We start from the raw sequence: 25080 nt of genomic DNA on the forward strand, positions 1-25080 counted from the left end.
CAGACGATGCCTCCACTGTGTGTGTGACCAGGACAGACGACGCCTCCACTGTGTGTGACCAGGACAGACGGCGCCTCCACTGTGTGTGTGACCAGGACAGACGATGCCTCCACTGTGTGTGACCAGGACAGACGACGCCTCCACTGTGTGTGACCAGGACAGACGATGCCTCCACTGTGTGTGACCAGGACAGACGACGCCTCCACTGTGTGTGACCAGGACAGACGATGCCTCCACTGTGTGTGTGACCAGGACAGACGATGCCTCCACTGTGTGTGTGACCAGGACAGACGATGCCTCCACTGTGTGTGTGACCAGGACAGACGATGCCTCCACTGTGTGTGACCAGGACAGACGATGCCTCCACTGTGTGTGTGACCAGGACAGACGATGCCTCCACTGTGTGTATGACCAGGACAGACGATGCCTCCACTGTGTGTGACCAGGACAGACGATGCCTCCACTGTGTGTGTGACCAGGACAGACGGCGCCTCCACTGTGTGTGTGACCAGGACAGACGATGCCTCCACTGTGTGTGACCAGGACAGACGACGCCTCCACTGTGTGTGACCAGGACAGACGATGCCTCCACTGTGTGTGTGACCAGGACAGACGGTGCCTCCACTGTGTGTATGACCAGGACAGACGATGCCTCCACTGTGTGTGTGACCAGGACAGACGGCGCCTCCACTGTGTGTGTGACCAGGACAGACGATGCCTCCACTGTGTGTGACCAGGACAGACGGCGCCTCCACTGTGTGTGTGACCAGGACAGACGACGCCTCCACTGTGTGTGTGACCGGGACAGACGGCGCCTCCACTGTGTGTGTGACCAGGACAGACGACGCCTCCACTGTGTGTGTGACCAGGACAGACGATGCCTCCACTGTGTGTGACCAGGACAGACGACGCCTCCACTGTGTGTGACCAGGACAGACGATGCCTCCACTGTGTGTGTGACCAGGACAGACGGCGCCTCCACTGTGTGTGTGACCAGGACAGACGATGCCTCCACTGTGTGAGACCAGGACAGACGGCGCCTCCACTGTGTGTGTGACCAGGACAGACGACGCCTCCACTGTGTGTGACCAGGACAGACGATGCCTCCACTGTGTGTGTGACCAGGACAGACGGCGCCTCCACTGTGTGTGTGACCAGGACAGACGACGCCTCCACTGTGTGTGTGACCAGGACAGACGATGCCTCCACTGTGTGTGACCAGGACAGACGACGCCTCCACTGTGTGTGACCAGGACAGACGATGCCTCCACTGTGTGTGTGACCAGGACAGACGGCGCCTCCACTGTGTGTGTGACCAGGACAGACGACGCCTCCACTGTGTGTGACCAGGACAGACGATGCCTCCACTGTGTGTGTGACCAGGACAGACGGCGCCTCCACTGTGTGTGTGACCAGGACAGACGATGCCTCCACTGTGTGTGACCAGGACAGACGATGCCTCCACTGTGTGTGTGACCAGGACAGACGGCGCCTCCACTGTGTGTGTGACCAGGACAGACGGCGCCTCCACTGTGTGTGACCAGGACAGACGACGCCTCCACTGTGTGTGTGACCAGGACAGACGGCGCCTCCACTGTGTGTGTGACCAGGACAGACGACGCCTCCACTGTGTGTGTGACCGGGACAGACGGCGCCTCCACTGTGTGTGTGACCAGGACAGACGACGCCTCCACTGTGTGTGTGACCAGGACAGACGATGCCTCCACTGTGTGTGACCAGGACAGACGACGCCTCCACTGTGTGTGACCAGGACAGACGATGCCTCCACTGTGTGTGTGACCAGGACAGACGGCGCCTCCACTGTGTGTGTGACCAGGACAGACGACGCCTCCACTGTGTGTGACCAGGACAGACGATGCCTCCACTGTGTGTGTGACCAGGACAGACGGCGCCTCCACTGTGTGTATGACCAGGACAGACGGTGCCTCCACTGTGTGTGTGACCAGGACAGACGGCGCCTCCACTGTGTGTGTGACCAGGACAGACGCCTCCACTGTGTGTGACCAGGACAGACGATGCCTCCACTGTGTGTGTGACCAGGACAGACGACGCCTCCACTGTGTGTGACCAGGACAGACGGCGCCTCCACTGTGTGTGTGACCGGGACAGATGACACCTCCACTGTGTGTGACCAGGAGCCTTTTGGCTTGTGTTTCCTGTGGGGTTTCCATACCCAGGGCTGTAGAAGCAGGACGGGGACTGACTGAGCCTGCAAGGGGCCTGCCGTGGGCGGGTAGACTCGTCTGAGTGCAAGTGGCCACCTCACTCCTCTCCACGCTACTGGGTTCATCCCTGTCCCAGGCCTCCAGCTGCTTTAGTTCAGGGCAGGCAAACTGTGGCCTGCATCCTGCCACTGAGTTTGCAGAGAAAGTTTGATTGGACACAGCCACACCTATGGCTTTGTAGTGCTTGGGGCCACTTTCCTAGTTGTGGCAGAGAACAAGTGTACCCCACAACCTGAACTATTCCCACCCCATCCCTTTGTGGAAAGCGCTCACTGACCCCTGCCCCTACAGGCCCTCCGTCCTCAGCTTGGCCCTGCTCAGTCAGCTGCATTGACCAAGACTCTCACATGACCCCTGCCCCTACAGGCCCTCCATCCTCATGCTTGGCCCTGCTCAGTCAGATGCATTATCCTAGACTCTCACATGATCCCTGCCCCTATAGGCCCTCCGTCCTCAGCTTGTCCCTGCTCAATCAGATGCGTTATCCCAGACTCTGACACCATAGGACTTCCTTCTTTGAACATTGATTCCGGCTGATGTTCAGTGTGTGACTAAACTGAGCTGTGAAGAAACTCAATTGATTTGACCACAGCATGTTTTACTGGGATTCTATTTCGCATTAGGTTGGGAAGTCCTCCTGCAAGCAAACCTGGTTTATTGTCTTATTAGTGAGTGCCCTAGCTCTTGGCTGCCCTATGAATGGCAGTCACTGCCAGGCTCAGCCAGGCCTGCCCTGCTGAAGTTGACCAGCAGTCCCAGTGGCTGAAGGCCTGGAGGCAGCAGTGACTCTGTCCTCCTGGCTCTGCCTGTGCTGGGCTTTAAGCACACATTGCTCTTGGCAGAAATTAAAGTTTATCTGTCCTCATAATTACGTTGAGGTCTCCTACATTAAGTAATCTGTGATATTTAAACAAAGTTCATACTTTTTACATTTAATTGACTATTTTAGGTCATATTCCTTATCAACTGGAAATATTTTGTTAATTCAAAGGAAACACATTTCAGCAGTCACTTTAACTAAAAAGTCTTTGCTATTTGAGATTTTATCTTCTTGTCTGTTAAAAAACTGTTTGGCACCTTAATTTGCATGAATCGATTTCCAGTCGCTCAAATCCAGTTTGTGCAATGACAAGCTGGTGTGGCTGAAACGGCAGTTGCTCAAGAGCATTAGAACAGCCTTCACCATGTGGGTTTACATGGACAGCACGGTCAGCAGACAGTGAGACGGGCGCTTGTCCACTCGTCTGACACCGTGGGGCCATAGGAGGCAGCGACTGAGAAGGTCAGTCCCATTAAAAATGCCCTTTGGCTCATCTGGAAGCTGTATCTCTGGTCATGCACCATGCCAGCCACGCCAGCCACGCCAGCATTATCACGGCATGTGCTTTAAAATCATGCAGACGTTGTTCTAGAGTGAGTGTGAACAGCTTTCACACTTGGGCACTGTGCCGGTTCCCATGCTGGCTTTCCCACATGCACACAGGTGGCTGGCACGCAGCTCTGCACCTCTTACTGTTGGGAGCTCAGAAGCCTCTCTCTGTGGTGGTTTTTCATCTCGGGATAATTGAACCCAGCTGGGAAGTACCAGGACCAGAGAATCTCTGCTGCATAATATCACCACCCCGTGGCAACTCACAAAGCAAGATTTTCACCGAGAATCGCACATAGAAATAATTTCACATCTGCTTCTGGAAAGATTTTCACCGAGAATCGCACATAGAAAGAATTCCACATCTGCTTCTGGAGCACATTTCCCTCTAAAGAGAGGGGCAGAGCGACTTCACCGTCTGTCGTCATCTGGTGGTGGAAACCACTTCTAGGTTTGAAGGTGAGTTATTCATGCTGGAATTTCGTGATCTCTGTGGGGACTGTGGCTTATTCATTGGAGCTTGAATATTTTTCAGGGTTTGCTTTGGTGTGATTATACATATAAAGATATGTCTAGAATTCATGTCTCTATCAGACTCTGATTCTTTCACCCTGAGGTGTACCCACTTCTGCCCTCCCGCCGACCTAGCACCTATGTCAGACTGGGGGATTCAGGTAAAATAAACCGAGGGAAGTCTTGAGCTTGAGGCAGAGCCACTGGTTTCTTGCAGGGACAAAGTCAGGCAGCAGTGGTAGCGTTCCCTTCCGGGATGGCCTGTGTGTGTGTGAATGCAGGGCGTGGGGAGGGACAAAAGTTGTTTCCCCAGCAGCACGATAAAATCACTTTGTGAACTTTGGTTCAGTATTTTATTTGTCAAAGAAGTTAAGTTGCTTAACATTTTAACTGTCAACAAATAAGTAGATACATGCATTAAAATTTGATGGCCATTAAATAATTTTTATAAAGCAAATATATCAAGTATAAAATAAATCATACAATTATTCAAGTATCCATACAGTGGCCTGACTTTTATTGATTGCCTTACAAGTAAAATTTACTTATTTGTTTCTACAAGGAAGCCATCCTGCTTTAAAAAGTTTTCAGCTCCAGAGGGACCAATTTGGGTATGAAACCCTGAAGCGTATTAGAAAGTGACCGTTAATTGCTAACCTGAGAGAACGTTTGTATTCCAGGCTGTCATGAAGCCCCTGACTGGCTTAAGGACAGATTATTTTATTCAATGGTTCTGGTTGATTCCTATCTCTAATCCAAGCCCTCTGTTTCTTACTCCATGTAGTAAGGGCTGAGGCATTATAGCTTAGCAGTCTTCAGAAATCTTTTACATGTATTATCGCACCTGATTTTGTACTGAATTGAAGAAGGGATTGAGGTCTCAGAGATGGTGCTCACACAATGTGTTGAGCACATCAGGGCATGTCTGAGAGTGAGAGTGAACGCATTGACAGCATTGTCAGGAGAACAGTCATTAACAGCGATGGTGGTGAGCACACTGGGACCTGTGAGCACCCTGATCTTAGGACTCACTGAGTAAGGGGAACCAACACCCACTCAGACTGTCTTTGGTAAACATTAAAGAGTAGCCATCTGTGTGTCAGGAGAATACGCACAGAACCCAGGGCACAGAGGGGAGAGCTGGGGCTCCAGCCACGGGTTTGGGACCCAGGCTTTACGGCTCCAGAGACTGAACAGTCTTGGGATTCCTACAAGAGTGACTCTGGCCAGCTCAGCACAGCTGGGACCATCCCTGCCTCATCCCCCATTCATACAAATGCTCATCTAGGTCTTAAGAGCAGGCAAAGCAATTAATCAATATCCCACTGCAGTAGGACAAAGTGTTATGCACCTTTTATAGATAAACTAAAAGGAATAGTCATTCCAAAGATTACCATGCACGTGTCACACCTGGGATGCAGACTCATGGTACTGGATTAGCCCACAGTTTTGTTCCTATGATGGTCACTTGTGCCTACAGATAATTAATATCAATTTGAGTATATTCTTGGGAGTAAATAGCTCTAGTAAAAGTGATATAGCTTAAATATCTTAAGAAGATATTGTTACCCTTGACATCAGAAACATAAGAAGGATGGAACGCATAGATTTGCTGATTTTTCCAGGTGTACAGATTATAAGCTGCCAGCCCTAAAATACGATATATTTTGGAAAGTGCTCAGAGAGAACAATTGAAATGACCCATTTCATTCCCTGAGGATGAAAATGCTCTAAGGTGAGAGCAGAAACCATGAGGGTGGCGTGTGGCATTTCTCTTGTTTGACTCGAGCAAAGGCATTCCATTATTGGCAGGGGCAGATTAGCCATGTTGAGCTCAGCTAGCATTTTTGGACCAATTATGGGAGTGATTTCCCCTAATTATAGATCAACAGTTTGTGGGCAGGCAGACACCTGTCTTGGCTGTCTTGATCTCAGGCAGTCAGAGTCCTGGAAAAACTATTGATATAAGAGGTCAGAGACCACAGATAATTCACTAAGTTAATAAGAACTCAGCTAAAGACTCCATGAGACTTCAGCTCACATAATTTTACAGGTGAGTACTTCCCTGGGAAAGGTGGGGGACCCAGTGTCTCCTCCCACCACATCTTCTGCCCATCTCCCTGTGGGACACCCCAACCCAGATGCTGTGGGGTTGGAATGTGCACACCACTGTCAGTGGTGGGAGGAGGCAGGCACCGTCGGGTTCTGCCTGTGACGTGTTCCTCTCCCTGGGCTTCTCCTCTTGTTTGTTCCACGACCATCTCCACCCCCCACTTCCTGGGAGCATCTTCTCTCTTGATGTTAGCGCCAGTATTAGGAAAGGGCCTGAGACCATCATGGCCAAGTTGCATGTGCGAAAGCATCATGGACAAAGCCACTGGCCTTGCAAAGGGGTGAGTTGTACAAAGTCCTGCAAAGAGCATGTTGGTTGTCACCAGCGAACAGGTGCAGAGAAGCCCAGACAGCACCCAATGCCCGTCTGAGGGCCATGTCCGAGCCACACACCCATCCTCCCTGGGGGTGGACAGTCCTGTGCTGAGGTAGACACTCCAAACACCACCCACCCTCCCTGGGAGTGGACAGTCCCATGCCGAGGTAGACACTCCAGCCGCCACCCATCCTCCCTGGGAGTGGACACTCCCGTGCCGAGGTAGATGCTCCAAACAGCACCCACCCTCCCTGGGAGTGGACGGTCCCGTGCCGAGGTAGACACTCTAAACACCACCCACCCTCCCTGGGAGTGGACAGTCCCGTGCCAAGGTAGACGCTCCAAACAGCACCCACCCTCCCTGGGAGTGGACGGTCCCGTGCCAAGGTAGACACTCCAGCCGCCATCCATCCTCCCTGGGATTGGACGGTCCCATGCCGAGGTAGACACTCCAGCCGCCACCCATCCTCCCTGGGAGTGGACGGTCACGTGCCGAGGTAGACACTCCAGCCGCCACCCATCCTCCCTGGGAGTGGACACTCCCGTGCTTAGGTAGATGCTCCAAACAGCACCCACCCTCCCTGGGAGTGGACGGTCCCGTGCCGAGGTAGACGCTCCAAACAGCACCCACCCTCCCTGGGGGTGGACAGTACCGTGCCGAGGTAGATGCTCCAACCACAATCCACCCTCCCTGGGAGTGGACAGTCCCATGCCGAGGTAGACACTCCAGCCGCCACCCATCCCCCCCGGGAGTGGATGGTTCCGTGCCGAGGTAGACACTCCTTCCTTGTTGGTATTCAGGGTATTCAGAGTGTTGTCTTTGCACTGAAATTGGCAGCTTTAGAAACACTGGTGGATTTAAACAATCTTGATCTGAATCTTAGAGGCTGTCATGTGAATGTCCTCACAGGGAACATATGAAGAACATTAAACTCGCATGTATCTTTGTACAGAGGGAAGGAGCATTGCGATCTGCAGACATCCAGCCACATGCCGTGTGTGATGCTGGCACCATGGTCAAGATGGTGACCTTTTCTCCCCAGGCATTGGCGTGATGCCGATTTTCAAATTTTCAAAGGACACACTGTCGCTAATAGAAATATTTTCTTTTGTTCAGATGCCCAGGGCCAAGGGACTCAAAGAGTATCTGGTCAGGTTGTTCTCAGCGTGCCTGAGATATAGCAGTTCAGAAGTGGAGCTATCACGTAGGTCTGTTCGCTGGGCTCTACATCTGTGACTGAAGCTGGATCAGTTCAGCTGTCTTCGCTCCTCTCTCTGTAGCAATATGTAGAGGGGGTGTTCGTTGATGGATTGATGAGGTCTTATGATGTTCCCAGGCCAGATTCTAACTCCTGGGTTCAAGCAGCATCCCATGACCTGAGCCTCCCCTGTAGCGGGCACTGTAGTTGCACACCGCAGCACCTGGCTGGAGTCCTGTTTGAGGTCCAGCAACAAGCGAGTTACTGAGAATGAGAATGACCTTTGTGTGTGTGAACCTCAGTGTGCGTGTGTTTCAGCGCAACAGTGTCGGCAGGCCCCGTTTGTTCCTGCTCAGGACCTGGTGATCATTGTTCCCCACGTGTGGCTCAAATATCATTAGCGGCTCTTGTTTCTTACCAGCACCTTTTCCCCATCGCAGCCCAGCCCTGCTTTCCTTAGAGTGCACCTGTGAGGTCTTGCCCCACCTCATTCTGCAGCGAGATGGGGCATTCCCGTTTCAATGTCTGTCTGTGTTGATATTTTCAAATAATGCTTGGTCTTTCCGTCTGCAAGTGCTCAAACTTTATATATGTGTGTGTGTGTGTGTGTGTGTGTGTGTGTGTGTGTGTGTGTAGTTTGCTTCCGATGCTCTGCAAAATCCCGGCTGCTGCTTTCTAAGTGTGGGTGGCTGTGGGTTTGCACCTTCCCCTTTTTCTCAGCCTCCACCTCTTGTGTCTCAGGGCCCCTGTCTTCCTCATGCCTCTGTCCAGGTGCCATGTGCGGTGTGGGGTGTTTCAGACCTCTTCCTGCAGGACGAGGCCTCCGGCTTGGGCTGTAAGTGAATCCCCAGTGGAGGAGTGGACAGTCCCATGCCAAGGTAGATGCTCCATCCACCACCCACCCTCCCTGGGGGTGGACAGTTCCGTGCCGAGGTAGACACTCCAAACACCACCCACCCTCCCTGGAAGTGGACAGCCCCGTGCCGAGGCAGACACCCCAGCCACCACCCACCCTCCCTGGGGGTGGACAGTCCCGTGCCGAGGCAGACACCCCAGCCACCACCCACCCTCCCTGGGGGTGGACAGTCCCGTGCCGAGGCAGACACCCCAGCCGCCACCCACCCTCCCTGGGGGTGGACAGTCCCGTGCCGAGGCAGACACCCCAGCCGCCACCCACCCTCCCTGGGGGTGGACAGTCCCGTGCCGAAGGAGACGCTCCAACCACCACCCATGCCAAGGTAGTGCCTGCACCTCTGCCTGGCACAGCAGCTTGGGGGCGGCTCTTCCCCCGCTGTGCCCTCTGTGGTGGGGGTGCCTCCTTGCTTCCTTTGAAGAGCTTTACTCCCTCATGCTCTGTTGTATGACTGGAGACAGAACTAAAACTAAAAGGAGGCAACAGAGGAGGAGTGCGGTGGGTTTGTTCTCTCTGCTCGTGAAGAACTCACAGGCGCTTCAGCAGGGCTGGGTCACGGTCACGTAGGGTCCTCTGGGTGAAACGGACCTTCTTATGGAGCCTCCTGTGGGACACGCGTGAGGGGCTTAGGCCAGCGGCGTCTCAAGCTCATTTTGAAGAACCGAGATGTGACTCCATTTCCCAACTGCAGCCCTTGATCCTTGTAATAAGGGGAAGCTGGGATAGAACCTTGGCGTGGCAGAGTCTGGAATGACGGACAGAGGTGTTGGTGTGGGTCTCTCCCTTTCGGGAGCGGCTGCCTTTTTCCACAAGAGTAGCCGTTCTCTCTCTCTCTGTGTCTCTGCTCCCCCCTCTCCTGTGTGTGTGCATATGCGTGCATGTGCATGTGTGTGCATGTGTGTGTGCGCGTGTATGTGTGTGCGTGTATGTGTGTGCGTGCATGTGCGTGTGCATGTGTGTGTGCGTGTGTGTGTGCGCACGTGTGTGTGTCTTAATTAGTTGCATTGTTTGGGTTGCCCTAGAACATTCTTAAATCATAGCCTGAGCAACTTCCAAACAAGCAAACACGGTGCCGCCCTCTTTCACACTCCCCCGACCTGGATCCCCGATCCTGAATCCAAACTTCATGACGTGTCTGAAGATTGTTTTCAAGGCTGTTCTCTTGGTCTCTGTCCAGCACGTCTTCCCATAAACTTAACTGAGCCCGGCATTGGGATGACAAAGATTAATAAAATAGGATTCTTTCCAGAGAAGCCCATTTTCTGGTTGGAAAAGATATGACTACAAAGTAATTATAATGTAAATAAATACACTAAAAGAAGCACAAAGAGTTACCAGAATAGTTAAGTCAAATGTCTTTTTTGGTTTTAAGTGATCGATATGGCGGAGAGCAGCTGTGTGGAATTCTGCCGCTCGGTGAGGATGAGCGATGCCTGGAGAACCTTCCACATTTGGTCTTCTCTGTACTTGCCCACCCTCCCCTAGAGCCATGCCTGGCTCTGATAAAGTGCTACTTTATAAATTTTAGGTTATTTGAAAGAAGCAAAAGGAACAAATGACAGGGGAGGCAGGGAGGGACCAGCCTAACGGGGGTTCTGAGAGACACGGTCGCAATGGCTCTGAGGCCTGTCAGCCTTGGGAGTTTCCAGCTGTGAGCATGGTGCCCTGGCTTCTGTGTGTACTGAGAAAAGACAATATACAAAGTGAGGGACAGGGACAGAGCACGCTGCAGGGAAAGTTCCGTAGAGTTTCTAGGGAGCAGGGAGCACCTGGGACGCACATCTGGGCTCCAGCAGCAGGGCTGAGACGGTGCCCTGAAGCTGCACCAGGGATTCCCGGCAGAAGGCTCCGGCCCGTCCAGGCCGCCTCCAGCACCACCATGCACTTCGTCCCGGCTTCCAGGAGCCCTGGCAGAAACGGAGCTCAGCTGCCAGTCTGGCGTCCTCGAACATGCTGCGAGTGGCGTTGGTGCCCATGGCTGTGAAAATGGAATCGTTGTCACCTCATCCAGGACGTGCCTCACGATCGTGCTGTCTCGTTGGTGGAGACGTTTGCCGTCTTCCGAAGCTTCTCTGCACCAGACCCTCTGAGATGGCGCGCTTGCCCCATGACCCCAACGCTTTGCTCTTCACGTCTCCTTTGACAAACCACTGTGACTTCAGATTGCCGTTCACATGGAAGCTCCACTTCACGGTTGGTGTTGTACTGTCTGGCTTTGTGGACGAGGACGCCCGCCGCCTTGGCTGCACCCTGGAATGCCTTGCACTGGGCCCCGGCTGCACGTGCCTGCTCCGACCTGCTCCTGCTGTGATCTAAACTGCTGGCTGGGCTGCCAGTTTTTCTAATTATCTTTTTCCTTTTCTTTGCAGGTTGTCTTATATTGAGAACATTTTCTTAATTTGTCACTGCATTAATGTCCACATCTGGAAACTGACAAAATTCACAATAATAGATGACAAGAAGTTATATTACTCTGTAGACATTGATTTTGTCATTTTGAATTGAAAATATTGAAAACTGAAATTAAACATATGGAATACTGCACATGGCTCAGGTTTCTTACTCATGCAAAACAGCATTGAGTGTTATCAGTGCTACGTATTCTATGCTTTAGGTAAAATATTTATGAAAATACCCATGAGATTAACGACTTATATGATATTCTAACTGACCCCCAACACATTTATTCTAATTTCTTCTGATCTTTGAAGTTCTAAAGGTTATCGCTAAACATTGGGAATATGTATCTTTTTAAGATATGCCTGTTCTATAAATTTTTAAATATCATTTACATTGTACGCTTAAAAGTTAACCAAATAAGAATCACATTTGAAAAGTTAGAAGTAATTACCACACTGTTTGTGGCAGGTGAAATATGTGCCCATAATGGCTGTGCCTCTTTATTTCTAGTATTTAGGGAAGGGTTTTTTTTTACGTAAATTGTTTTACAGAAAAGGTATAAACACAAGATGGGAAATGGAAGAAGTTCATTATATTTCACAGTTATATAACAACTTGTTATGAAACAGGATTATAACAAAGTTAGCATATTTGTGAATTATGCGTTAATCCAGCACATATTAGTTACACGCCCGTGGTGCTGCAGGTGAGGTGCCGGGTGCCCATTATTCTCCAGATGGGGTGCCAGGCACCCATTCTCCAGGTGTGGTACCAGGTGCCCGTTATTCTCCAGGTGGGGTGCTTGGTGCCCGTTATTCTCCAGGTGGGGTGCTCGGTGCCTGTTATTCTCCAGGTGCGGTGCCAGGCGCTCGTTATTCTCCAGTTGGGGTGTCAGGCGCCCATTATTCTCCAGGTTTGGTGCCAGGTGCCGGTTACTCCCCAGGTAGGGTGCTCGGTGCCCATTATTCTCCAGGTGGGGTGCCAAGCGCCCGTTATTCTCCAGGTGGGGTGCCAGGGGCCCGTTATTCTCCAGGTGGGGTGTCAGGCGCCCGTTATTCTCCAGGTGGGGTACCAGGCGCCCGTTATTCTCCAGCTGGGGTGCCAGGCGCCCGTTATTCTCCAGGTGGGGTGTCAGGCGCCCGTTATTCTCCAGGTGGGGTGTCAGGCGCCCGTTATTCTCCAGGTGGGGTGTCAGGCGCCCGTTATTCTCCAGGTCGGGTGTCAGGCGCCCGTTATTCTCCAGGTGGGGTGTCAGGCGCCCGTTATTCTCCAGGTGGGGTGTCAGGCGCCCGTTATTCTCCAGGTGGGGTGCCAGGCGCCCGTTATTCTCCAGGTGGGGTGCTCGGTGCCTGTTATTCTCCAGGTGCGGTGCCAGGCGCTCGTTATTCTCTAGGTGGGGTGTCAGGCGCCCATTATTCTCCAGGAGCAGTGCCAGGTGCCGGTTACTCTCCAGGTAGGGTGCTCGGTGCCCATTATTCTCCAGGTGGGGTGCCAAGCGCCCGTTATTCTCCAGGTGGGGTGCCAGGGGCCCGTTATTCTCCAGGTGGGGTGTCACGCGCCCGTTATTCTCCAGGTGGGGTACCAGGCGCCCGTTATTCTCCAGTTGGGGTGCCAGGCGCCCATTATTCTCCAGGTGGGGTGTCAGGCGCCCGTTATTCTCCAGGTGGGGTGTCAGGCGCCCGTTATTCTCCAGGTGGGGTGTCAGGCGCCCGTTATTCTCCAGGTCGGGTGTCAGGCGCCCGTTATTCTCCAGGTCGGGTGTCAGGCGCCCGTTATTCTCCAGGTGGGGTGTCAGGCACCCGTTATTCTCCAGGTCGGGTGTCAGGCGCCCCTTATTCTCCAGGTGGGGTGTCAGGCGCCCGTTATTCTCCAGGTGGGGTGTCAGGCGCCCTTTATTCTCCAGGTGGGGTGCCAGGCGCCCGTTATTCTCCACATGCGGTGCCAGGCACCCGTTATTCTCCAGGTGCAGTGCCAGGTGCCCGTGATGCTCCAGATGTGCCAGGCGTGGCTGCCCTGGCAGTGGATGTGGTATCAGACACAGATGTTCCTCAGAAGCTGTAGGATGCTCACGGGGCTGGAGAGCCATCCAGGAGCTAGGGTGTGGAGACAAAGGAGGCTGGTGGAGTTAAGATGGGTCACTGCTACTGTCAACCATGGCGGGGAATTTGGAGTTTTAAAGGCAGTGAGAATCCCTTGGGATTTTTTAAAGCTGGAAGTCTTTTGATCAGAGTTGCATTTTCAGAAGCTCCCTCAGGCTGCAGCATGGAGATGGCTTAGCAGTCTGGAGGGAGGACAATGGCGGGATGTGGAGGCCTCCACTGTGAGCCTGTGAAGGACGGCCTGACCGAGGGGCAGCCAGGGCAGGAGGGACGTGGGCCCTGAGGGAGGAGGATCACTGAAGATGAATTGGACATGGCTTGTGAGGGCGAGGGATCCAAGCTGTCCTAGCTTCCCCTGAGCCTTGGAAGGACTCTGCACTTTCAGCTGGAAACAGGTAGTGAGGCTCTGTGAAGGGCTGCAGGTGCAGGGGGAGGAGATAACATAGCGTGGCCGGCCAGGTCCCCAGGGCGTGCCTGTGATCTTGAGTCTAGCAGGCAGCGGGAGGGCTCTGTAGAAAGTCCACAGAGCCTGCACTGGAACCGCTTGGGAAAGATTCTTCCAGATTTGGATGTCAACTGAAGCCGTAATTCTGGCTGAGGCTGTCTTGGATGGGATATTAGGGCGAGAAGAGTACAACCTGGGACAAATTTCCAAGGAATACCAGCATTTAGGGTGGGCAGAGTAGTGAGGAAAGTGGGCAAAGAGTGGCCGAGGTACAGAGGAAACTGGAGCGAGAGGCATCAGGGAAATCAATGGAAGAGGTTCTGGTGGGATGGCCAACGGCATCCAGCAGTGCTGAGAGGTTCTGGGGGGATGGCCAAGGGCGTCCAGCGGTGCCGAGAGGTTCGGGTAGGACGACCAACGGTGTCCAGCAGTGCTGAGAGGTTTGGATGGGATGGCCAAGGGCGTCCAGTGGTGCCAACAGGTTCTGGCAGGATGGCCTAGGGTGTCCAGCAGTGCTGAGAGGTGAATCTGTGTTTTAATACTGAGAAGAGTAACTGGGTTAGAGAAAGGCGGGTGACCTTGACTGAGGAATGGAGGAGGGGCTGAGCCTCAGTTACAGGGGATGGAAAGTCAAAGGGGGATGGAGAGAAGGCCATGAGCACCAAAAATGCGTCCTTGTCTGGGAGGGGCAGGTGGGGTCAAAGGAGAGATGGGTTACTGTTCGAGCTGGGGAAGGCAAGAGCTTATTTCAATCTTGACAGAAAGACTCTTGCAGACACAAACATGTGGGCAATGTGGAAAAGGAGGGTGTGGTTGGTGCAGAGACCCGGTTAAGGGAAGAGGAGCTCATCCCGAGAGGAAGCTGGGAGGCCCGGCCCTGCACCCAGGGGAGGAGCCATGGAATAGGCTTATTACCTGGATGTCATTACTATTTCAACCTCAGGATTAGACAAATGTTAACTTTGTAAATCTTAAAATACATACTTTCACACCAGGAAATAATGGTTAAGGCCCTAGTTCCTCCTCCTCTTACAACAGTCTAAGTGGGAGATCCAGCTCTTGCTAACAGACCCGAAAGCAATGAGCGTACCTGAGATCCAGATGTTCAGCCTCGTAATTAAATAAATAGTGAAAATCTGTTTTGCTGGAGTTTATTCTCAAGACTCTTGGGTCCCATTGTGTTTTGTTTCTGAGGTGTTGTGAAACTCTTTGTGTATTTTTTTCAAATACAGTTCTGTTCAAAGTTAGATTTCTTCATCAAACATACCAAGGCTTTGAAGCTCCAAGGCCAGCTGCAGGATACAGAATCCAAAGGTGCCTGGGCTGAAATGGATGTGCAATGTGGGGTGCAAAGGTGCTCACGGACTCGGCTGTAATGTGTATTTTATTATTGCTCTAAATATTGGGAAGAGGTGTTAGTTTAAAAACATTTAACATAAAATGGTCTCTGAAATATTTTTCATGTTTAAGCTTTAGTAAGCTGGACTCTTAGTGGATTAGCTAACCTGTTGCAGAGTCTGTCCTTAGAACAATCCGGAATGTGGGCTCTACCCTTTCTTTTGGTTGCTTTGCAGTTTTGCTTCAGAGAAGCAGCTGTACTCTTGATATCCTCAGATGCCAGAATGCTTCCTAGAGACCCAGGTTATTGAGGTTTTGTGAACTGACCTAAGTTAAAGCAAAGGCACTGAAGGCAGCCAGCGGGGCCGCGGGCGGGACCTTCCCTCTCCTGGAGGAAAGAGACAAAACACTTCTCAGACCGCAGCCACCAGACCCCCGAGGTCAGTTCTGAGAAGGGCGCAAGGTCGGTGCCTGACCCAGTGTCAGATCCACACCGACTTCCCGGGAAACTGGCCAGTTGTTTTCATTGTATTTAGAAAATAATATTTTTTAGAAAAGGTTGTTTTTCCTGGTGGCTGCGGGTCTTCTGCCTCCACTCTGTTCCCAGAGCCTGCCTGGCGTCTGCGGGAGAAGCTTCTCAGCAGGTGCTGGTATTGCGTCTTACGAGTTCCACTTTCCAATTTTGTTTTTGTGTCATGATGCCGCCTGTGCCTCACCCAATACGTACACACTCAGTGTCCTTTATGGAAGAATCCCAGGGTGGCAAGAGAGGAGGGCTCCCGTTTCCTTGAAGTTCAGGATGGAGGAGAAAGTGTAAAATCAGAGGCTCTGCAGGTCATGGGTTTGATGGCTCCAGGTCTTGTGCTAGAAGCATGTTAGTTACAGTTGGGAAGCCCTGAGGACTGACATCGAGATTTCTTGCACTTTATTTTTTTTTTTAATTTTATTTATTTGTTTGTTTATTTTTTGAGACAGGGCCTCACTCTGTCACCCAAGCTGTGGTGCAGTGGTACAATCACAGCTCAGTACAGCCTCAACCTCCCGGGCTCAAGTGATCCTGCCACCTCAGCCTCTCAAGTAGCTGGGACTATAGGGTGCATGTCACCATGCCCGGCTGTTTTGTATTTTTTGTAGAGACGAGGTCTCATCATGTTGCCCAAGCCGGTTGTGAAACTTCTTGCACTTTATAAAGTGACAGGATTAAATTAGATGTTCCTCTGAGATCACTTTCAATGGAAAAAAAATAATGACCCCTTTCAAAAAGAGCACTGATGCCGAAGTATGGAAATAGTTTATTTAGTACATTTTTATTAAGAATGAGTTTACCAAAAAATAAAAATCATTATGATTCTTAGAAGATCTCTTCAGTGCATTAAGCAGAAATGCTGTTTATGTTAGAAATGAATTCACCTGTGGCCACCATAAGTCCATGCTACGCTGGTCTCTCAGATCTGGATCTTTGGTCCTGAACAAGCGAGTCTGTCTGGGGATGTAGGGTTTGCATTCTAGCGAATCCCCAGGGGTGTTTCCCGGGCCCTTGTGTGGTTCGTGGGAGCTGATTACTGATGGCGTCAACATCTTCCATCCGGCTTATGATTCAAGGAGCATTTGTGAAAATGTCCACGTTTCTGAAAACACATCTGCCCCTGGGTCTGCAGTATGCTTCAGGGGTCTGCTCAGAGTCAGCCAGGACGGCGCAAGTTAGCGCATCCATCGACGCTGGGAGCTGTTCGCCTTCCAGAGCTCATAGTAGGAGGGGCAGCAAAGGTGTGTTCCCCCACCGCCACCACCCGTGGCTCTGCTGTGGAGGCAGTGGGCGGCCGGCGGGCAGCCTGGGTCACAGCTGCACCCGCTCCAGTTGGTGCCCTGGGACAGTGCCGTCTGCCTGCCTGTCACTCGGCAGGACCTGGCTCCCAGCGATTTCTCCACAGGTGGAAGCATCCATCTTGAGCCAGCGCACGATGGAGAAACGTTTGGACACCTGAGAATAATTCCAAGCCAGCCTAGGGAAAAATGACCTTGACATGCTGACATGTTGGCTACATATTACAGGACTAAGGGAGTCCACCCACAGCTGTTTTCCTTTGTTGATTTAAACATTTTCTGGTCTGTTTTTCTTTTTAGGTCTGCTGTGTGCCAAAATATTTTACCATGCCCTAAAAGTGAGATGTTGGAAGTGGACAAGGAGGAAATATTTATGAATATTTGAGTCTGTTATTCTTTATGTTAAGCATTTTGGCTTCTGTTGTACTCCTAAATCACTACTGAGAGCAGAGAAAGAGCTCTTTGTAGAAATGAGATGTGTTCCTGTGTGCTGCCTGTGACGCATCCCGTTGTCACCGGAGTGCCGTGGCCCTAAGGAATGACAGCATTAAGGCATGGACGTTAAAGATGGACAAAAGAATTGTTCACGGTGTTGTATTTTAAAATGACTATGTGTATGACAATTAAACTATTGTGTCTTCGTTTACTCCATGTGTTCTGCCTGACAGCTGGGTGCTGGTGTTCAGATACCCAAAGGGTGATCGTGGGTAACTAGCACTGGATGGGTTTAAAAGGTGGGACAGTAAATCTGCAAATGATAGCAGTTCTAATGCTTTTGTAGCAAGTGCAGCAGCTTAAGCTGATCCAAGGATGCAGAGATTCTTCCTCTCCCTCCCCCCATCCCTCTCTGTCTCAGGCACTGACCTTCCTCTGCACAGACAGATGCATGCTGTGACTGATCATGGCCATCAGCTCAGGCCTGAGCATCTAAGCAATGGTCAGAGCTGCTGGAACAGAAATGACAAACAGGCCCCTCGCCTCGTGATCTTAAAATCCTCTTATACAACTTGCTTCTCTTAGAAAACACAAGAGCTTCTTATCTCTGTCTCAAGAAGGGAGAAAAATGGGATGAATGAAGAATAAAGGCTTAGCTGGGGGTTGGGGGTGGTGGTGGCTCACACCTGTAATCCCAGCACTTTGAGGGGCTGAGGCGGGCAGATTGCCTCAGCTGAGGAGTTCAAGACCAGCCTGGGCAACATGGCAAAACCCTATCTCTGCAAAAATATACAGAAACTAGCTGGGCATGGTGGTGCATGCCTGTAGTCCCAGCTACTAGGGGGGCCAAGGCAGGAGGATAGCTTGAGCCTAGGATGCGGAGGTTGCAGTGAGCTGAGGTTACACTCTGCACTCCAGCCTGGGTGACAGAGGGAGACCGTGTTACCCCAAGTTAGGGAATGAGAACCGCGAGTGGATTCACACGCTCATCCCGACCCCGCGTGTCACCGCGAGTGGGTTCACACACTCATCCCGACCCCGCGTGTCACCGCGAGTGGGTTCACACGCTCATCCCGACCCCGCGTGTCACCGCGAGTGGATTCACACGCTCATCCCGGCCCCGCGTGTCACCGCGAGTGGGTTCACAGCCTCATCCCGACCCCGCGTGTCACCGCGAGTGGACTCACACCCTCATCCCGACCCCATGTGTCACCGCGAGTGGACTCACACGCTCATCCCGACCCCGCGTGTCACCGTGAGTGGACTCACACCCTCATCCCGACCCCGCGTGTCACCGCGAGTGGATTCACACGCTCATCCCGACCCCGCGTGTCACCGCGAGTGGGTTCACAGCCTCATCCCGACCCCGCGTGTCACCGCGAGGGGACTCACACCCTCATCCCGACCCCACGTGTCACCGCGAGTGGACTCACACGCTCATCCCGACCCCGCGTGTCACAGCAAGCGGGTTCACAGCCTCATCCCGACCCTGCGTGTCACCGCGAGTGGATTCACACGCTCATCCCGACCCCGCGTGTCACCGCGAGTGGGCTCACACCCTCATCCCGACCCCGCATGTCACCGCGAGTGGGTTCACACCCTCATCCCGACCCCGCGTGTCACCGCGAGTGGGTTCACACCCTCATCCCGACCCCGCGTGTCACCGCGAGTGGGTTCACAGCCTCATCCCGACCCCGCGTGTCACCGCGAGTGGATTCACACGCTCATCCCAACCCCGCGTGTCACCACGAGTGGGTTCACAGCCTCATCCCGACCCCGCGTGTCACCGCGAGTGGATTCACACCCTCATCCCGACCCCGCGTGTCACCGCGAGTGGACTCACACGCTCATCCCGACCCCGCGTGTCACCGCGAGTGGGTTCACAGCCTCATCCCGACCCCGCGTGTCACCGCGAGTGGACTCACACGCTCATCCCGACCCCGCGTGTCACCGCGAGTGGATTCACAGCCTCATCCCGACCCCGCGTGTCACCGCGAGTGGACTCACACGCTCATCCCGACCCCGCGTGTCACCGCGAGTGGGTTCACAGCCTCATCCCGACCCCGCGTGTCACCGCGAGTGGATTCACACGCTCATCCCGACCCCGCGTGTCACCGCGAGTGGGTTCACAGCCTCATCCCGACCCCACATGTCACCGCGAGTGGGTTCACAGCCTCATCCCGACCCCGCGTGTCACCGCGAGTGGGTTCACAGCCTCATCCCGACCCCGCGTGTCACCGCGAGTGGATTCACAGCCTCATCCCGACCCCGCGTGTCACCGCGAGTGGGTTCACAGCCTCATCCCGACCCCGCGTGTCACCGCGAGTGGGTTCACACGCTCATCCCGACCCCGCGTGTCACCGCGAGTGGATTCACACGCTCATCCCGACCCCGCGTGTCACCGCGAGTGGGTTCACAGCCTCATCCCGACCCCGCGTGTCACCGCGAGGGGACTCACACCCTCATCCCGACCCCACGTGTCACCGCGAGTGGACTCACACGCTCATCCCGACCCCGCGTGTCACAGCAAGCGGGTTCACAGCCTCATCCCGACCCTGCGTGTCACCGCGAGTGGATTCACACGCTCATCCCGACCCCGCGTGTCACCGCGAGTGGGCTCACACCCTCATCCCGACCCCGCATGTCACCGCGAGTGGGTTCACACCCTCATCCCGACCCCGCGTGTCACCGCGAGTGGGTTCACACCCTCATCCCGACCCCGCGTGTCACCGCGAGTGGGTTCACAGCCTCATCCCGACCCCGCGTGTCACCGCGAGTGGATTCACACGCTCATCCCAACCCCGCGTGTCACCACGAGTGGGTTCACAGCCTCATCCCGACCCCGCGTGTCACCGCGAGTGGACTCACACGCTCATCCCGACCCCGCGTGTCACCGCGAGTGGATTCACAGCCTCATCCCGACCCCGCGTGTCACCGCGAGTGGACTCACACGCTCATCCCGACCCCGCGTGTCACCGCGAGTGGGTTCACAGCCTCATCCCGACCCCGCGTGTCACCGCGAGTGGATTCACACGCTCATCCCGACCCCGCGTGTCACCGCGAGTGGGTTCACAGCCTCATCCCGACCCCACATGTCACCGCGAGTGGGTTCACAGCCTCATCCCGACCCCGCGTGTCACCGCGAGTGGGTTCACAGCCTCATCCCGACCCCGCGTGTCACCGCGAGTGGATTCACAGCCTCATCCCGACCCCGCGTGTCACCGCGAGTGGGTTCACAGCCTCATCCCGACCCCGCGTGTCACCGCGAGTGGGTTCACACGCTCATCCCGACCCCGCGTGTCACCGCGAGTGGGTTCACACGCTCATCCCGACCCCGCGTGTCACCGCGAGTGGGTTCACAGCCTCATCCCGACCCCGCGTGTCACCGCGAGTGGATTCACACGCTCATCCCGACCCCGCGTGTCACCGCGAGTGGATTCACACGCTCATCCCGACCCCGCGTGTCACCGCGAGTGGGTTCACAGCCTCATCCCGACCCCGCGTGTCACCGCGAGTGGATTCACACGCTCATCCCGACCCCACATGTTCACGTGTTTAATGAACACTGTGCTAGAAGGTCAGCAGTAAACATGCCACAGCACCCCATCTGCTGCAGTGGATGCTGGCTTGGGGAGGACACAAGACCCCCCGACGTGTGGTGTGAGGTGGGGCTGGCGAGAGCTCAGCTCCTCAGGGCTGGAAAGGCTTTTGTCCAGGGGACCCTACACGGGGTGTGGGTGGCAGCTGTCAGTCTGGCGGCCGTGGGGACGGTCGGGGGAGGTTCTCTGCTTTGTGGATGGAAGGCGCTGTCCCTCAGGTGCTGGTGAGAGTGTTGGGGCCTTTGGGGATCCTGGAATGGGCCTCATGGGGCCTGGGGGTTATAAGGGGAGGCCTGGCAGGCTATAGAGACCAGTGCTTGGTCAAGGCAGGGCCTTGAACCGTGCACCCTAGAGAGCAGCTGTCGTGTACATGGCAGGGAGGGTGCTGGCTCCGGCTCAGAACAGCTCCCAGCTGTAGCGGAGCGTGGAGTGAACAGGAGGTGCCGCAGGCTGGGAATTGCCGTCACTAAGAAAAGTGTCAATAGGCAGTCATGGTTCAGAATCCTGGGTGCCCTCAAAATAATAAAAGGTGATGCCCTGCTCTTGATTTTACCCCTTGAAACATAAGCTGCTTTTTTTAGGATACCAGAAGGTGTGACCCCCTCCCGGCACAGTTCCTAAAGTCCGTGCTCCTGGTTTCCTTCTCCTGATGAATAAGGGGCCGTGGAGCCTCCTGAGCCAGTGACTGGGGAATGCACTGGACGCTTGCTGTTCTGCTGGCCAGATGGAGGAGCTCCCTCATGGCGGACAGGCATGCTGTGTCCCTGGAGAGTGGGCAGTGTGGCTCCTGCCCATGGTCACGTAGAGAGAGAGGAATCCGAGGTGGATTCAGTCCTTCCTGCCGCCTGCACCCAGGGAGCTCAACAGCCTTGAGCGTCCCCTGCCGTCCTGTCCTCCCGGCCCGAGCGCCCCGAGCTTTCCACCTTCCCTCGGGCCTTTCTCTCTCTGTTATCACCTGGCGTGACCCTGACTTCAGGCTCTGGCTCAACCTGAAGGACACCTTTTATCTCAAGCTCTTCCCGCCCCTTCAGTAGAATCTGCTGTTCCGCCTCGGGCCCAGGGCTTCCCTCGGTGTTATCATTGACTCAGACTGTGAAGGGGCCTCTCTCCACAGCTCCTGCACCCCCAGGGCCTGGCGGTGGCCTGGCTGCTGTGCACTGAAGAGGCAGTGCTGCCTTCACCTGTCCGAGGGACGGAGCACGTGGACGTGTCAGCTGCATCATCTGCTGTCCCTCCCGGCATCACCTGCACTTTATCCTCTAAGGGGTTAATTTTACGCTTTTGTTCTCTACAAAATGTAGTTTTTAAAATGCTGACACAGTGTTTAGTGAGCAGTGGCTCTGCCCTTGCTGGGTTCTTGTCCTTATCGGGAAGAAGTTTAACCAAAGAGGAACATGCAAAACCCAGCCCCCTTTTAGCCGCTTTGGGCCGTTAAAATATCCAAGCAGGCTGGTTCCCTCTGCCTTGTCTCAGCCAGGGGCTCTCCAGCGTTAATATGTGTCAGAATCACCCTGGGAAAGCTTATCAAAGCTCAGACAGCCGGTCTCTCCACAATTCTGATCCAGCAGGCCTGGTGTGAGCCCGAGAATTTGTGCTTCTGAGGCCCTGGCTTGACCACACTTTGAGAACCTCTGCGCTAAGCTGAGGTTTTGTAGACACGGAGGAGGTTGGTGTCCATAGTGTGTAACTAGAGGCTGGGAGAGCTGGTGTGGAGCCTGCGTGGGCAGTTGGACCCCTTTGTCGTTGGTGTCCTCGGATGCTGTAGGTAGGCTGTGTGTGTTAAGTGTGTGTGTTCATATACAAGTGTTCGTCCCTCTGGAGTCGCTACCTGTGTGTTTCTCAGGAAGACAAAGTGTCTTCTGTGCTAACGCAGTCAGTGTCTGTGGTTGAGAGTCCCTCATCTGAGCTTGCATCTCTCCTCTGGTTGGAAGAGTTACAGCTTTTTGGATGATTCTTCCAGAACCTTTTTTCCTTCCAAGTGTCCTTGGGCTCAATTATGGGCAATTTGGTCCAGGAATGACTGTGGGAGCCTCTGTGTGATTGACCTTGGCAGGGAACCTCCAACCCCACCAGCAAATGTCCTCTGAAGTCCAGGAAACAAGAAAAACACCTGCAGCTGTGGGTAAAATGATGGTGTTGGTATCCCCTGGAGCCTCTGTTCAGTACTGAATTGGACATCAAGTGGCAGGAAGGAATAATTCTTGAGCAACATTTTATGGGCTAGAAATAAATATTAAACGTTAGGAGTAATTCTCAAGAAGTAGCCCCATTATGCGTTAGATAATTTGGATAAATTGAAAGCCCTCTTTTGGTTAGCACTTTAATTTCACAATGTGCCTCCCTGTGGTTTCTATTTCTGTAAAAGCATGTAGAATTTGAACCTTGAAAGGAATAATAGGACTCAAACAAAATATGACAGTAGGTGAGGGTCAAAATTAATATGTGGTTGGGAGTTATGTATGTATGTATAACTACGACCCCACATTTGCTCATGGAAACATCCATGTTTTTTTCAGTCGGAAAATCAAGTTGTGTGAGGAACCTCATTGAGACTCAGTGTCATATTACATCAACTATTTGTCAGTTTCTCGGGTAACCCATCCATTTGAATTGGATGCTTTCGTGTCTCTCCAAGTTGTATTTAATTCTTATGCACTGAAATCATATAGCCTGTTAGAAAGATTTTAGGATGCAGTTGATTTCTGTAATTTTTCGGAAACTTAGTTTTCAGCCCCACTTTCCTCCTTTATAAAATGGAAACAATCACCTCATTGGAGCAAACTCACCTGGTTGGTTGCGTTGAGGGAGACTCATAGGAAGTGACCCATGTGGAAATGCGTGGTCAGCTCGGTGTGCGTGGTCAGCTCGGTTTCCGTGGTCAGCTCGGTGTGCGTGGTCAGCTCGGTTTCCGTGGTCAGCTCGGTGTGCGTGGTCGTCTCAGTTTCCATGGTCGGCTCGGTTTCCATGGTCGGCTCGGTTTCCATGGTCAGCTCGGTGTGCGTGGTCAGCTTGGTGTGCGTGGTCAGCTCGGTGTGCGTGGTCAGCTCGGTGTGCATGGTCAGCTCGGTTTCCGTGCTAAGCTTGGTTTCTGTGGTCAGCTCGGTTTCTGTAGTCGGCTCGGTGTGTGTGGTTGGCTCGGTATGCATGTTCAGCTCGGTTTCCGTGGTCGGCTCGGTGTGCATGGTCGGCTCGGTGTGCATGTTCAGCTCGGTGTGCGTGGTCAGCTTGGTGTGCGTGGTCAGCTTGGTGTGCGTGGTCAGCTCGGTGTGCGTGGTCAGCTTGGTGTGCGTGGTCAGCTCGGTGTGCGTGGTCAGCTCGGTGTGCGTGGTCAGCTCGGTGTGGGTGGTCAGCTCGGTGTGCGTGGTCAGCTCGGTGTGCGTGGTCAGCTCGGTTTCCGTGGTCAGCTTGGTTTCTGTGGTCAGCTCGGTTTCTGTAGTCGGCTCGGTGTGTGTGGTTGGCTCGGTATGCATGTTCAGCTCGGTTTCCGTGGTCGGCTCGGTGTGCATGGTCGGCTCGGTGTGCATGTTCAGCTCGGTGTGCGTGGTCGGCTCATTGTGCATGGTCGGCTCGGTATGCATGGTCAGCTCGGTGTGCGTGGTCAGCTCGGTGTGCATGGTCGGCTCAGTTTCCGTGGTCAGCTCGGTGTGCGTGGTCGGCTCGGTGTGCATGGTCTGCTCAGTTTCCGTGGTCAGCTCGGTTTCCGTGGTCAGCTCGGTGTGCATGGTCGGCTCGGTGTGCGTGGTCAGCTCGGTTTCCGTGGTCAGCTCGGTTTCCGTGGTCGGCTCGGTGTGCGTGGTCGGCTCGGTGTGCGTGGTCAGCTCGCTGCACGTGTTCGGCTCGGTGTGTGTTGTCAGCTCGGTTTCCATGGTCAGCTCAGTGTGCGTGGTCAGCTCGGTGTGCATGGTCGGCTCGGTTTCTGTGGTCAGCTCGGTTTCCATGGTCAGCTCGGTGTGCGTGGTCAGCTCGGGTTCCGTGGTCAGCTCGGTGTGCATGGTCGGCTCAGTGTGCGTGGTCAGCTCGGTGTGCGTGGTCGGCTCAGTGTGCGTGGTCAGCTTGGTTTCCGTGGTCAGCTCGGTGTGCGTGGTCGGCTCGGTGTGCGTGGTCGGCTCAATGTGCGTGGTCGGCTCAGTTTCCGTGGTCGTCTCGGTGTGCATGGTCGGCTCGGTTTCCGTGGTCGTCTCGGTGTGCGTGGTTGGCTCGGTTTCCGTGGTCGGCTCGGTGTGCGTGGTCGGCTCGGTGCGTGTGGTCGGCTCGGTTTCCGTGGTCGGCTCA

The 25080-nt window shown here is 53.9% G+C and overlaps 1 protein-coding gene across 2 annotated transcripts in view, besides 4 other annotated features; it reads left to right on the top strand.

Annotated features, from left to right (window-relative positions):
* DLGAP2 (DLG associated protein 2) overlaps nt 1–25080 on the top strand; it is a 970849-nt gene that overhangs the window by 277884 nt on the left and 667885 nt on the right. The window lies entirely within an intron of this gene.
* Nucleotides 1323–2522: an enhancer, noted in NCBI's record as "BRD4-independent group 4 enhancer chr8:966834-968033 (GRCh37/hg19 assembly coordinates)". NCBI's record gives its function as "activates an origin of replication core promoter dependent on BRD2, P300/CBP, MED14 and CDK7 cofactors, and independent of BRD4, by STARR-seq in HCT116 cells {active_cell/tissue: HCT116}" and the evidence as "EXISTENCE:reporter gene assay evidence [ECO:0000049][PMID:35650434]".
* Nucleotides 6299–6799: an enhancer, noted in NCBI's record as "H3K4me1 hESC enhancer chr8:971810-972310 (GRCh37/hg19 assembly coordinates)". NCBI's record gives its function as "activates a minimal SCP1, AML or CMV promoter by ChIP-STARR-seq in naive H9 embryonic stem cells {active_cell/tissue: H9 hESC(naive)}" and the evidence as "EXISTENCE:reporter gene assay evidence [ECO:0000049][PMID:30033119]".
* Nucleotides 6800–7300: an enhancer, noted in NCBI's record as "H3K4me1 hESC enhancer chr8:972311-972811 (GRCh37/hg19 assembly coordinates)". NCBI's record gives its function as "activates a minimal SCP1, AML or CMV promoter by ChIP-STARR-seq in naive H9 embryonic stem cells {active_cell/tissue: H9 hESC(naive)}" and the evidence as "EXISTENCE:reporter gene assay evidence [ECO:0000049][PMID:30033119]".
* Nucleotides 10291–10791: an enhancer, noted in NCBI's record as "H3K4me1 hESC enhancer chr8:975802-976302 (GRCh37/hg19 assembly coordinates)". NCBI's record gives its function as "activates a minimal SCP1, AML or CMV promoter by ChIP-STARR-seq in primed H9 embryonic stem cells {active_cell/tissue: H9 hESC(primed)}" and the evidence as "EXISTENCE:reporter gene assay evidence [ECO:0000049][PMID:30033119]".

This window comes from Homo sapiens, chromosome 8, assembly GCF_000001405.40.
Source record: "Homo sapiens chromosome 8, GRCh38.p14 Primary Assembly".
Classification (NCBI taxonomy): Eukaryota; Metazoa; Chordata; class Mammalia; order Primates; family Hominidae; genus Homo; species Homo sapiens.